Source organism: Homo sapiens, chromosome 7 (genome assembly GCF_000001405.40).
Source record: "Homo sapiens chromosome 7, GRCh38.p14 Primary Assembly".
NCBI classification, from domain to species: Eukaryota; Metazoa; Chordata; class Mammalia; order Primates; family Hominidae; genus Homo; species Homo sapiens.
In genome coordinates, this window is record NC_000007.14 from 36,359,547 (window position 1) to 36,374,244 (window position 14,698).

Consider the following 14,698-nt stretch of genomic DNA (forward strand, 5'->3'; position numbering starts at 1 on the left):
AAGGTATTTCTAAAGCTTGCAGGGGCTAAATGTCTATTATATGTGTAAGTTTAGAGATAGGAGCTAGATCACATAGGGTCATGTTGAAGACAGGTTGTACAAAGAAGCTGTTCAATAAATGTTAAAGACTCAACAAGACAAAATTAACTGGACAAATAAACAAAACGTTCATCATAGGCTGGTAGCTCCCAGTTTCTCAGGAGTTTCATAGACTTACGTGTTGCCAACTAACAGTCAAAACTGAGCAGGCCAAGCAAACAGGCTAAGGAATACCAGGACACAGGCTGTAGCCCAAATGCCCAGGAATAATGTCGGTTTCCCTCAAACGACACCACAAGCTTAGGAGACAAGAGGTGATAATGAAAAGAAAACCGAAATAGATACAAAAAGGGAAAGACTGAAAGAACTCAAATAAGCATAAGCCTAGGAAGTAGGGTAAGGACTAGGTGTAGCCGGAAACGTAAAGGGAGGAAATCAGGTTGTTTTCTCAGTTGATCTTCGTAATAAAAAGGGACAGAGTTACACCAAATTAAAATCAATAAATAAGACTACTCTGAAGAATTTGTTTTGATGATTCATTACATATATGTTGTACTGATTTTTTAAAAATGAATACTCAATGTGAAAATGCTCTGTTTTCTAAGACCTAGTAGCTTTACGACCAAAGAACTGAGCTTGCTGAGTTTTTTGTCGTAAAGCATCAGTGACCTCCAAATTCATAATTTTGTGCCATCTGAAACAGCCTACACATTTCCAGATACTAAAAAAAAACGTCCTAAACCACCTGTCAAAATACTCAAGGAGGAATGAAGTATGGCAGCGGGGTGACAGTATATGCCTGACAGAACCTCTCTCCCCAGGAATTACAGCATTTCAGTTCACTTGCTAATTATCTCCTGAGAAGCTTAGCACGAGTCCTTTTGAAGCTCCATCTGCTGCTGAATAAAGTTTGGGAGTGTTAATGGTCTATTTATTTTACAAATGTCAATCCTGTTAAATGCTGGATAGCCCATGAAGTTCATAAAAGTGGGGCACATGGTCCTTCACGCAACTCATACAAGATGGATATAAATTAATTTCTCAGAGTCACAGTAATTGTATTTCAGTTACATTAAAAAGTATCATAGAACCTAAGAGATTGTTTTTGTAATTTTAAATACTATTGCTTACTTTGTGAAAAAAAGACTTTTGAACATGGTTAAGAACACTAAGAGGCCGATAACATTTGACACAATTTATTAAAGAACATCCTATTCTCTGAATCCTTTTTCCTGAAAAATTAAAACATTTTAAAAGCATAAACAGACTTATTTGGAGGAAGTGTAACTCGTGTTTTCCCAGAAAAGTAATAAGGTAATTAAAAAGCATACTTTCTCACATTAAAGGTAGTCATTATATAATGTAAAACTTAGCTATAAGCAATCTGTTTCACTATATTGGAGAGAATGAAAATAATTTGTTGATAGAAGAAAATCGTTCACCCCAACCTGATTACCCATACTGAGGAAAAAAGGGTAAATAATATTTGTACATTAAAATTGATAGTCTATTCGCAAGTAGGTGAATATACTGAAGTTATCAACACAATGAAAACTTAGTATATATCTAGAACAGGAGAAAAGGATACCAAGATTCCTGACATCCATTCCCAGCTCTTTCAATGACCTCTCTGTAATATTAGCCTAATCATTAAACCCATCGGTACCTCCCGTTCCCCATCTAAAAGAATGGGGGAAAAGGGAGACACTGCTCTCTAAAAGTAGTGTTTCACAACTGTGAGTAGGTGAGGTTTCATAGTAATCAGGAGGTCTCTGGCTGAAAAGGAAGATCACCAGAAACAAAGCCTGGTGGCAAATACTATTCAACCAGTTTTGACCTACAAATGGAAATTTCGTATGGTTCACTAATACTTACGAAACCTGAGAATCTGGGATAATTTTATACCACAAAACAATAGGTTACTTCATTACAAACAAAAGAAAGGCCAAAACAAAACAAAATAATCCCCAAACAAGATAAACTTTAATTTTATCAAGACTTTCATTACTAAAAACTCAAAAGAAGCTAGGCACAGTGGCACATGCCTGTAGTCCCAGCTATTCAGGAAGCTGAGGCTGGAAGACTACTTGAACCCAGGAGTTTGAGTCCAGCCTAGACAACATAGCAAAACTCCAATTCTAAAAAACAAATGAACAAACAAACAAACAAAAACACCTCAAACAGTATCAACAGTAGAAAGGATAAATTGTGGTACGCTCATATAACAGAAGACTATACGACAATGAAAAGAAAACTGACGTTGTAAGCAACAATATGGATGTATCTCAGACAATGTTGAGCAAATGAAGCCACATCAAAAGATTTTATAGTGTATAATTCCATTTATATGTACTCCAAAACAGCAAAACTAATTTATGGTATTAGACGTCAGAATAGCAGTTACCTTTGAGGGATGAATCACAATCTAGGAGGATACCAGGAAACCTACCAGGTGCTGGAAATGTTCGCTATCTGTTCTGGGCAATGGTTATGTATGTACAAAGTCATTGGGCTGCACATTTAAGACTTGTAGACTTTATTTAAGTTACACTTTAATTTTTTTAATGGTGTATAAAATCAGTATCCTTAAAAACATATTTATTGCTCAATTTGTCTGCACTATAACAGATAATCTATTAACTATAGTATCTCTAAATTCAATAGCAACCAATGTAGTTTATCGACTGTATGAAAATGAGACGAAAGGCACTGCTAATGTCATTCAGGAATTCAGAAACTTGACTGTACTTTAGGATTCTTAAAAATTTCACAGCCCCAGGTAAGAGCAATTCAGTGCTGCTCTATTAGTAACTTATAATGGGACACTGTTGTTTTGGGGTCAGAAACTTGTGTGTTTGTTGTTTTTACAGTTAGAAATACAGAGTAGTCTAGATACCCTTGATGGTGATGGTTGTGGTAAGAGTGAGCATTATACATCATCTAAAATAACACTAAATGTGCCAGAAACAAACTTTCCCATGGCTTTCCCTTGGGATGGACAAAACTCCTAACCATGGTCTATGAGGTCACTCTTGGTCAGATCCTTCTGCCTCTGCAGCCTCACCTCACACTGTGTTCCTCAATTTCTCCACTCCAGCCTTCTCTCACTTTGACCATATCTCATACTCACTATGCTCTCTCCGAACATACTTCTTCACATGCTGCTCCCTGTGTCTGCTGGGCCCTTCTATCCCTCTCTTTGTTAGATTAATATCCACTCATCTTTCAGTTCAAATAGCACTTGGTCAGGAAGCCTTCCTTAACTTTTTCATTTTAGACCCTCATAACACCTTGTATCTCTTCTTCGAAGTACTTTATCATGGTTGCAGGTTTATATTTGTTGTATGACAGACTTCGTCAACAATGAAATTATAAGCTCTTTTACAACATACATCTGTGTTTGGTTTTGCTTATTCACTGTCCTGCTTATGAAAGGGGGGCCAGAGAGGTAGACAAGGGAAGAGAATATTTGAGAGGAAAGAAAGGGTAAAAGACTTAGTTGCCTGACGGTTGAGGAAAAAATTATCCCAGGAAGGTAAAAGAAAAATGAAACAATTAGTGATGTTGAAGACAACATGGTAGGTACCTGCTGCTGTAGGACAAACAGGAGCTATGTGCCTAGGTATATTCAACCTGTATGGCCTAACGATGGCCTTAAGACTTTCATTTCCAGTATTTTTAAACATTCATCTTTGATATAAAGACACTTCATTTCTGGAATGACTCATTAATCTCTCCTTATATCACATACAAAATAAAGCCGATAGGCAATCATAAATGAACATAATCTTATATGGTTTCTCACAGCATTTTGTTAATGAATGAACTAGATGCGTTCTATTTTGAAAACAACAAATTTTTATTCAAGTGAAATATGATTTTCCCAGGTAAAAATTATTACATACTTGCCTGTGATTAAAAATCTAAAAACCAACAGTTGAGCAAACCATCGGATAATGTCACACTGATATTACATGAAATCTTGATGTTGGATTTTGTGGCTCAAATCAGTGTACAGTCACTATAATAGTGAGCTGATTTTCCTAGCAGTTGACAACATGGACTTTGGAATGGAGTTGTCTGGTATGAATCTTGGCTCTGTTTATTAATAGCTATTACCCTGACCAAGTTACATAACTTCTTTGTGCTACAGTTTCCTTATCTGTAAAATGGGATAATAATAATGCATACTTCATAGTATTATTGTAAGGATTTTAAAAGTGAATATGTGTGAAGTGCTGAGAACAGTGCTGGACTATAGGTAAGCAGCCTTTGTTAACTATTATTAGTATCACATTAAATATTATATTCAGCTCCTATAGAAACACCGCATGGAAAAATGTACATAGGGAAATATTCTGAATCATTAAATTTGAATTCCAAGGCAAATTTCATGTTAATAAGGTAATTAATCTATATTTTAGAATCAAGATTTTAGTGGCTTTGGTATAATAAACCCTTTTTTTTTTTTTAAATCCCGGAAGCTAAAGTAGAATCTTCTTCTTCTTTTTTTTTTTTTTGTGACAGGGTCTCACTCTGTGGCCAAGGCTGGAGTGCAGTGGCAATCCTGACTCACTGCAACCTCTGCCGCCTGGGCGCTCAAGTGATACTCCTGCCTCAGCCTTCCAAGTAGCTGGGACTACAGGCGCAGGCCATCATGCCCGGCTAATTTTTTAATTTTTTGTAGAGATAAGGTTTTGCCGTGTTGCCCAGGCTGGTCTTGAACTCCTGAGCTCAGGTAATCCGCCTGCTCTCCGCCTCACAAACTGCTGGGATTACAAGTGTGAGCCACTGCACCCAGCCTCAGAACCTTCTTCTTTAAAAGGCCATGAGAAGTCAAAAAAACCTTTTCTGATTTGATTCCATTTTTAAACAGCATAGATAGCATATACTAATAAGTCAAAAGTGGGTAAGATATTATATAGGAAGGATTTCAGAAACAAGTAATTGCTTCATTCCTGAAATATAAAATGAGTCTGTTCTATATTTGTAACGACTTTTAGAGCTGAAAAAAAAATGAACACATTTCCATCAGTACTCTTACCACAATCAAGTTCTGCTAACCAGAAAGAAGAACATGGCCATCTCAGATATCAATGAATCGTGAGGGAATGACCAGGGGAGAGGAGGGCATGTTTTCAGCTTAACTCTCTACATGAAGTTTCTGGCTGTCCAAACTGGGTTTTTCTGATATCGCAGTGAAATGCTGGGCACAGGGCTCTAGAATTATTTCAAGCAGTTAAGTATATTTAAGAGAGAAAGTAGTCTGAAAAATGACCCAGTTATTTTTAAAGGAATTGTAAATTAGAGGCTTGCATGGTCTCAAATGGCTATTTGAACTTTATTGTACTATAGAAATTCACTGCCAAATTGTCTACCTCAGGGTTTGCAAACATACAGGGTTGGATTCATAAATGTACTGCCACTAAATTATAGGAAGGGAAATGAGACAAGAGGAGTGGGTCTACTACTTTCTAAAGTATCTCTTCTCAAACTTCTAACTCAACATGTTGACATATCAAGAGATCACTCTGCATGACTAATTGATCATAGTATCTACTTTCTAATACTAATATTAATTTATTTGTATCTCTACAATGATTGTTATGGTTTGGGAAAATAATTTTAATCTATGTGATTTCTCAATGAAATAATGTGCACTGTGACAGAATCTATATTTTTCTTCAAGGCATTGATTCTCATGGAGAAGGAGATGTTGCCCTACCCCTCACCCCTGCCCAATTGTGATTTTTAGTTGTCACAATTATGGGGGCGGGGCAGAGAACAGCATCCCACAAGGAAGAACTATCTTGTCCAAAGTTAACAGTGCTAGGCTGGGCACAGTGGTTCATGCCTATAATCCCAGCACTTTGGGAGGCGGAGGTGTGAGGATCACCTGAGGTCAGGAGTTCCAGACCAGCCTGGCCAACATGGTGAAACCCTGTCTCTATTAAAAATACAAAAATCCGGCGGGCGTGGTAGCATGCGTCTGTAATCCCAGCTACTCGGAGGCTGAGGCAGGAGAATCGCTTGAACCTGGGAGGTGGAGATTGCAGTGAGCAGAGACAGCGCCACTGCACTCCACCCTGGGCGACAGAGCGAGACTCCGTCTCAAAAACAACAACAACAACAAAGTTAATGGTGCGGAGGTTGAGAAACCTTGCTCCATATTTAGGAGGTATGGTACTTTTAAGTAACTTTTGACATTTTAATTGTGTTTTAAGATGAAAGTAGCATCTACATCAAATCACATTTTTAAAAATTCTAATGCCAATTAAAGTTGCCTTTTCGATCTCAGATCCTGGAACTATGTTTCCTGTCAACATAAATGATATACATCGTGGCAACGTCATGATTTGTGACTGCACAAATCTACTCCGTATAACACTGAACGTGAAATAAAACAGTATAAAATTAAAATCATAAATATTTTCACTGGAAAGAGGTTTGGTTTTTCAGTTAGAATGCTCACAGAAAAATAGTCTGGTAGGTACTGCATTGCTCTAAAATGTAAAATTCCGGCTTTATTTTGGCACTAGTTTGAGGAGTATTTCCCTTTACTCCGTTGTTCTTCGTCATAATTCTGAACTGCCAAAACCCTGCTTGCAGAAATGTTTGCGTACAGAATCAAATGCTGGGAAAATGGCCTAGAAAATTACTCTAATATTATGTAAGGTTTTTTTTAATAGCTAACACGCATAGCGATTTACAAATAATAAGAGTCAAGTTCTGTGCTCCCAGAGATTGAACTGAATTTAAAAAAATGCAGGTAAACTTCCAGACTTTCTGACCTGGGGTCTGTTTAAAGACCCATGTTTTACACTTGGTATAATCCGTACTGTAAAATGGCCTATTAATAATATCAACTCAAAACGTTCTCACTGTTTAAGAATAAAAGCATACACACACAAATATACACAGTATAAATAATGAAATATACAGATGTGTTCTTTCGCTTAGCTTATTTTTTCTGAACATTCTAGAAAATTATGAAGCTTAATCACACACCTAGCGTGTTTTGAAATAGGATTTAACAATCTTTGGATTGTACCTTTGTAAGACCAGCAACCGGTCTAATATTACAATCTTTTCCACGAGATTCCACAGCAGGTACTTACTGATAATAAGTGACGAAAGGATAAGGGGCCGATTTCTCTCTTCCCTCCACAGGTTTTTCGCGAGCGCCTCCTGCGCGCCCCGAAGGGGTCGGGGCGCAGGGTGGAGTCCCGAGCGGCGCGCCCAGCCGGTGGCTACCATTACCTGAGCCCCGGGCGGCGGGACCCCGGTCCGCCCCGCACCCCCGCCGCGGCCAGCCCTTCCCGGCACTCACCCGTCACGCGAATGGACTCCAGCATCGTCGCCCCGAGGCCCGGGGCGGCGGGCTCCGCGGGCTCAGGGGAAAGGGCCGCGCAGGGGCGGGCGGCCTCTAGCCTCTGACCCGGGCCTCGGTGGCGGGGGCGCGGCGGGAGGCGGCTCTCCGCTACCTGGAGCAGGATAAGGAGGGTAAGGGCGGACGAAGACGTACCGACACTGACTGTGAGCAGCGCTTCCACCAGCCCGTAGCTACTGGAAGGTACACACGGCGGCCTTACGGTGCCCAGCAGCGCTTAGAACCTGCCACCGTGACGTAGCCGCTCCGCCGGTTGCTAGGAAACTGCCCCCGGGGTCCGCGCGCGCTGCGCTTCACGGAGCCTGCGCGCCGCTGGGGGCGCTCGTGCGACGAAGGCCCGCGGGCGGCGAGAGAGAGTGGGAGGAACTACAACTCCCGGCGTGCACAGCGCGGGCCAGTGCCTCCGGGGCTTGTGGCTGTGCCCGCGAGCGCGCTGGGGTCTCCAGCCAGTGGGTAACGCATATTGACTGATCTTTCAGAGACGTTTGTACCCGTTCAAAGGTGACTTAACTCCATGGTGCGCTGTGACACTCGGCCCTAGCTGCAAATAGCAAAGCCAGTCTACCCGTCCTTCCCCTTACGAGGTGCGGGGAAGCTAAAACACGTTTAGGATGAGCTAGTAAGAGTGGAAAGTGCAGGAGGCTCAATGACCACTTGACGGTACCTCAGCATACTATCCTTAATGCTGAAATTCACATTTTAGCTTGTGATTGTGCAATTGATAGGGGCTGAATGTTATTTTCAGTTTATTATTCATTTTCACATTAGCAAGTATGAAAATTTAATCTTTTACAATAACCATGGGAGGCGGGCCACGGTGGCTCATGCCTGTAATCCTCGCACTTTGGGAGACCAAGGCGGGTGGATCGCTTGAGGCCAGGAGTTGGAGACCAGCCTGGGCCACATGGCGAAAACCCATCTCTACTAAAAACACAAAAAGTGAACAAATCGTGGTGGCACACTTCTGTAGTCCCAGCTACTCGGGAGGCCGAGGTGGGAGGATTGCTTGAGTCCGAGAGGTGAGAATGTAGTGAGCCATGATCGCGCCACTGCACTCCAGCCTGGGTGACAAAGTGAGACTAAAAAAAAAAAAAAAGTACGGTGGGAATGGGAAATGTAGACTAAACCATTCAACAAACATTTTTTGAGACCCTAACGTGTGCAAGGTTCTGAGGCAGGCTTTGAGGATATCAAGGGAAATGAAATAAGCCTAGCGGAGCTTACAGTTTAGGAGGAGCTGAGATAGTGCTGGCAACTGTCAGTCTTCAGACAGTTAAATTTTCTCTTCATCCTCAAGGCTAAGACATGGAAATAATTGGGGTGTGTTTTCAAACTCAGGAACAAAAGAAAGTTGAATATCAGGACCGTCACACCCTGAGAATGACAGGCAACTTGTGAGAAATTGTGTCTTTTTCATCACTTAGGAGAGAACAATGGAAATGTAACTATATCACAAAAACTGGATAACCTCACTTCATATTCTGTCTTCAAATCCTGTGACTACTGTTTTCGAAATACATCCAGAATCTAGCCACTTGCTACCACTCTGGTTCAAGCCACCACCACCTCTTGTCTGGATTATGGCAGTCTTCTAGACAGTCTCTGTATTCCCACCCTACCCTCTTTCACACTGTTCTCAAAACTCATTGGCCAGAGTGAACCTGTGAAAAAATCAGATCATGTCACTCTGTTCAAAATCTTCAGTGGCTTCCTTTCCTGTGAAGTCCTTTATGACCTAGCCTCCTGTCACCTCTTTGATCTCATCCCCAACTACTTCCTCCCCGATGGATACACTGGCCTCTTTGATATTCCTCAATTCCAGGCACTATTTCACCTCAAGGCCTTTGCAACTTGGAATCCTCCCTGCGTGGAATGTTCTTCCCTCAGATATCCGCAGGACTAGCTCCCTTACTTCCTCAGGACTTAATCCAAATGTCACCTCTTCGTGAGCCCTTCCCTGGCCACTCTATTTAAAATTCTACTCCTTCATATTTCCTATAGCCCTTCTCTGCTTTATTTTTTTTACTTAGCACTTAACATTATCTAATTTATTATATATTTTATTGATTTATCATGACTGTTGTCTGTCTCCATCCCTAGAATAAAATTTCCACAAGTGCAGTGATTTTTGTTTGTTCACTGCTATATTCCCACACCAAGAAGAGTGGCTGGCATGTAGTAGGTCCTTAATAAATATTTGTGAATTAATGAATAAGTAGACAACAGAAAGTGTGTGCATTTTCAATGATAACTAAAATAATATAGAATTATATCAAATGGACCAATAGACGAAGAACAAATCTGCTTTGAGTTAAAACACTTGCTATAGTAATGAGCAATGAATCTGCTGCATTTGTAAGAGTAGTAATTCTTGCAACATATGTCCTAAGGAAAAAGGCTCTAAATTAACCATGCTGTTGGCTTCCTTATATACCCAGAATTCTGAAAGCTGTTTTCCAAGTTTGCTATAAATGCATCTATTACCTCTACAAATTTCTAGTTTTTAAAGTCACAGTCACTGCAGTTTAAGAGCTATTTCTCAAAAAAGAAAGCCTCCTAAAAGATGTTACCAAGTCATATGTTCAGTGCTTTTACTAAAGTATGTTTAATCATATTGCCTATTTTCATTATATTTTAAGTAACCAAGATACATATTATCTTCCTCATTCCACAGGTATTTATTTATATAGAAGACACTGGGCTTGGTGTTTTTGGAGTACATAACAAAAGATGATACCTATCCTCAAGGACAGTCCTGACTAGCAGGGAAGATTTTCTATAAAATACATATATGTGTGTATATATATATACATGTATACATACATATAAAAATTAGAAAATGATGTGCATTCTAATTTCAACACTTCACTACAATTAAGAATTCCAAAAATAAACAAATTTGATGCCTCTGTAGTTAGCCTACCTGGAATATTATATCATTCTTTACTTTTATAATTATTTTTATGTTCACCCTACCAATATTTTCTTGTGGATAATTTTTAAATATCTTTAGTGATAAGCACCATATAAAGGTATTTATAATGTAATCAAAACATTTAAAAAATATATCTCTGTGTATTATTGAAGCACTCTTGCTAACAAATTCATGAATACAAAGAGTTTATCTAACTTCTTATAAAACTTGTACTGTTACCAGCTCCTTTTACTATTCCCATCTATGCAATTATTCATCCTCATCAAGCTTTCTGCATCTGCTTTGTTAATTACTGATTCGTGCTATGCCTGCTTAGTGTTTCCATTGGGTTCAGCATCTGCAGCTGTCCAGTTGGCTGCTTTTGAGTCAGCATTGTTTTTACATATCCACAAGAACAATGAACAATCTCATCTTTCTGAGAAACTTTCCTTTATACCTGTTTCTATATTAACCATTAATATTGAGACAAGATGATCGACTTAATTATATTACTGCTCCATTTTTAGGGCACTGATTTCAAGATCAAGTTAGGAATTTGTTAAAACTGCTTTTGTTTTTTATTTTTATTTATTTATTTTTCCTTTTGAGATGGAGTTTCGCTCTTTTTTTTGCTCAGGCTGGAGTACAGTGGCGCAATCTTGGCTCACTGCAACCTCTGCCTCCTGGGTTCAAGTGATTCTCCTGCCTCAGCCTCCCAAGTAGCTGGGATTACAGGCATGCGCCACCACACCCGGCTAATTTTGTATTTTTAGTAGAGACAGGGTTTTACCATGTTGGCCAGGCTGGTCTCGAACTCCTGACCTCAGGTGATCCACCCACCTTGGCCTCACAAAGTGCTAGGATTATAGGCGTGAGCCACCACGCCTCGCCATTAAAACTGATTTTAATAATTTATGTTTATCTTTAAGGATGTCCTTCACCCTTTTTAAAGTTTTATTAAACTTAAATTTTTCAATAATAACCAAAAATGCCATTGCAGTTGTCTTACTGAGATATACTCACTTTCCTTTTATGGTCATCTTTATGAATTCTAGAAGCATTGTATTGTGGAACATTTTGATTAATGAATATCTGTAAGGATGATTTCCATTTAATTTTAGATTTAAAATAATAGAAAAATAGGTGTTTTGATAGAAATATTGTTATTTTATTTGTAGCAGGATTGTTATGTTATAGGTAAAGAACGTATTTATTTTATTTCATTTTTTGTTTTGGGACAGGGTCTCACTCTGTTGCCCAGGTTGGAGTGCAATGGCATGATCATGGTTCACTGGAGCTTCAACCTCCCAGGCTCAGGTAATCCTCTTACCTAAGCCTCAGCCTCCCAAGTAGCTGGGACTACAGGCATGTGCCACCAGGCCAGGCGAATTTTTTGTATTTTTTTGTAGAGATGGGGTTTTGCCATGTTGCCAGGCTGGTTTTGAACTCCTGGACTCAAGCAATCTGCCTGCCTCCGCCTCCCAAAATGCTAGGATTACAGATGTGAGCCAGTATTTTTTTATTTTGTCAGTAACTTGTTTAACTACTCATGTTAATCTCTATATTCTTCTTACATAGTAGAACAGATGTTGACAAATGTTTATTTACTATTCATAAGTTGATGGAGTTTTGGTATTAAAAAAAGTAAGTTAAACCATCTGTGTAATAAAAGAAGATCATTTTCTTTTTTGAAAAAAAGATCAACATCCTGCTTGTTAAAGACTCAGGAGAAGTTTGATCATTTACCTTGATAGGGGATAGAGGCTAGTAAAGACCAAGAAAGAGGAAGAGAGAGATGGTAAAGCATGGACAAGGCTGCCAGAAAGTGTTGCTACTGGAAGAAAAGTATATTATTTCACTTTGGTTTTTTTTGTGTTTTGTTTTTTCCAGAGACAGGGTCTCACTCTGTTGCCCAGGCTGGAGTGCAGTGGCGCGATCATAACTCCTGGGCTCAAGCGATCCTCCCACCCTGGCCTTCCAAGTAGCTGGGACCACAGGCACTTTTTATAGAAATGGGGTCTTGCTTTGTTGCCCAGGCTGGTCTCAAATTCCTGGCCTCAAGCAATCCTCCCTCTGTAGCCTCTCAAAGTGCTGGGATTAAAGGTGTCAGCCACCATGCCCAGTCTGTAATACTTCACTTTCTATAGCAGAAGTTCAGTTTTTTGAGAGCATATCATGCTTGCAACTGAAAAAAAAAAAGTTTAATTTCTTAAAAAGAGGTTTTTATCTTATTAACACAAAAAGAATTAGAACATTATATTTACTTACTTGTAAGTTTCAGATGAGAAACTTAAAAAATGGGGAGGGAAGCTTCTGCAGCCTACCATTATAAAAGAACAGAGCAACTCTAGTTGCAATACCTCAGATTCTGATAAGCATTACCAGACGCCTCAGGGCAAACTGTGAACATTGTTTCTTGATTCATAAAAGAGGAGGAAAAAAAAAGAAATCTAGGAAATAGTTGGTAGAATTGGTTTTTCCTTGGCTTTAAAAAAAATTTCAGCGAAGTTTGAATGCTTTCAGGATGTCTATATCAAGAGAATGGAATGTTTTGCAGCATGTCTATATTCAGGAGAATGAAAAGCGTTAAGTAGAAGCCAAATAAAAGAATGCTTTGTGAAACGCCTCTGCCTTTTTACCTCAATGAAAATAGAACAGCACAAAAACCCTGGGGAACACTGTGATTTTACATGTGTGTAAATGATGTTTTTAATGTTTGTTGGAAATGATTAAGGGAGGAAGGATGTTTTTTAATCAGCCAAAAAGATACTGCTCTTTATTATATTTTGGAGAAACCAAGATGTGCATTAACTTACTCCTTCCACAGATATTTAAGTTCCTATTATATACAAGGTAAAAAGATGATGAAAAAGATATGAAACCTACCTTCAAAGAACTTACTGATGGTATGTACATACATATGTAAAAATGATGGCTGGGCATGGTGGCTCACGCCTGTAATCCCAACACTTTGGGAGGCCAAGGTGGGCGGATCACCTGAGGTCAGAAGTTCGAGACCATCCTGGCCAACATGGTAAAACCCTGTCTGTACTAAAAATTCAAAAATTAGCCAGGTGTGGTGGTGCATGCCTGTAGTCCCAGCTACTCGGGAGGCTGAGCCAGGAGGATTGCTTGAATCCCAGGGGCGGAGGTTGCAGTGAGCCAAGATGGTGCCACTGCACTCCAGCCTGGGCAACAGAGCAAGACTTCATCTAAAAAAAAAAAAAAAAAAAAGAGGGCAATAAAAATGATGTACATGCATCAATCAGTCCTTTAGCACATATGACAGGGATGCTGGGGTAAGTAAATCAGAGTCCCAGTTCTCATAGAACTTATACTGGGAGAAAAAAACAACAACCAAGTTAACAAATGATATAATTTCAGATACAGATAGGTGCTATGAAGCACGGCAAATCGGTAAAGTATGCTAGATGGTAGGTAACTTGGAGTGATCAGGAAAGGCCTCTGAGAAAGTACCTTTGAGCTAAGACTTGAAGAACAAATGTCAGCCACTTGAAGAATAAGAGTCGGAATTTTTAGGGGACAAGCGATCTAGGCAAAGGAATTGCAAAGCCAAAAGGCCTGAGATAAGAATAATTTGGCTGATCCTGGACCCACATGAAGGTCAGTATGATTGAAGTCTAGTAAGCTGGGGGAAAGCGGGTAGGAAAAGAGAGGTAGGCAGGGGCCAGGGAAGGGAGTTTAGACTTTATTCTTTATTTTTTAAAAATTTTTTGTAGAGATGGGGGTCTCACTATGTTGCCTAGACTAGTCTGGGACTCTTGGCCTCAAGCAGTCCTCCCCCACTACCTCCCAAAGTGCCATTATTACAGGAGTGAGCTACCACACCCAGCCTAGTTTCAATATTATTCCAAGTGCAATCAGAAGCAACTGGAGGATTTTTTTCTTTTTAGAGATGGAGTCTCGCTCTGTTGCCCAGGCTGGAGTGCAGTGGCACGATCTCAGCTCACTGCAACTTCCATCTCCCAGGTTCAAGCGATTCTCCTGCCTCAGCCTCCCGAGTAGCTGGGACTACAGGTGCCAGCTAATTTTTTGTATTTTTTAGTAAAGACAGGGTTTCACCTTGTTAGCCAGGATGGTCTTGATCTCCTGACCTCATGATCCACCTGCCTCAGCCTCCCAAAGTACTGGGATTACAGGCGTGAGCCACCATGCCTGGCCATTTTATTTTATATATATATGTTTTTGAGACACAGTCTCACTCTGTCACCCAGGCTGAGTGTAGTGGTGAGATCACAGCTCACTGCAGCCTCCACCTACTGGGCTGAAGTGATCCTCCCACCTCAGACTCCTGAGTAGCTGGAGGTACAGGCATGAGCCACCATGCAAGGCTA

General features: G+C 40.0%; 1 protein-coding gene across 10 annotated transcripts in view, besides 2 other annotated features; it reads right to left on the reverse strand.

Annotated features, from left to right (window-relative positions):
- Window positions 1–14,698, reverse strand: part of MATCAP2 (microtubule associated tyrosine carboxypeptidase 2) — a 66,206-nt gene that overhangs the window by 35,395 nt on the left and 16,113 nt on the right. For 3 of the 10 annotated variants that reach the window (NM_001300956.2, XM_024446702.2, NM_001199708.2), the window contains exon 1: window positions 7,565–7,694. The exons of 2 other annotated variants lie outside the window; for them this stretch is intronic. Coding sequence is in view for 4 of the 8 variants with exons in the window: in NM_001199707.2 (NP_001186636.1) it covers window positions 7,158–7,296 (139 nt within the window). In the remaining 4 variants the exon portion in view is untranslated. Of the gene's footprint in view, window positions 1–7,157; window positions 7,695–14,698 lie in introns of those variants that run through there. 5 more of the 10 variants (XM_005249690.5, NM_015314.3, NM_001199706.2 and 2 more) reach the window with 2 other exon arrangements.
- Window positions 561–1,278: an enhancer, noted in NCBI's record as "OCT4-NANOG hESC enhancer chr7:36399716-36400433 (GRCh37/hg19 assembly coordinates)". NCBI's record gives its function as "activates a minimal SCP1, AML or CMV promoter by ChIP-STARR-seq in naive and primed H9 embryonic stem cells {active_cell/tissue: H9 hESC(naive and primed)}" and the evidence as "EXISTENCE:reporter gene assay evidence [ECO:0000049][PMID:30033119]".
- Window positions 7,344–7,443: a silencer, noted in NCBI's record as "silent region_18101". NCBI's record gives its function as "represses an Ori minimal core promoter by ATAC-STARR-seq in GM12878 lymphoblastoid cells {active_cell/tissue: GM12878}" and the evidence as "EXISTENCE:reporter gene assay evidence [ECO:0000049][PMID:35858748]".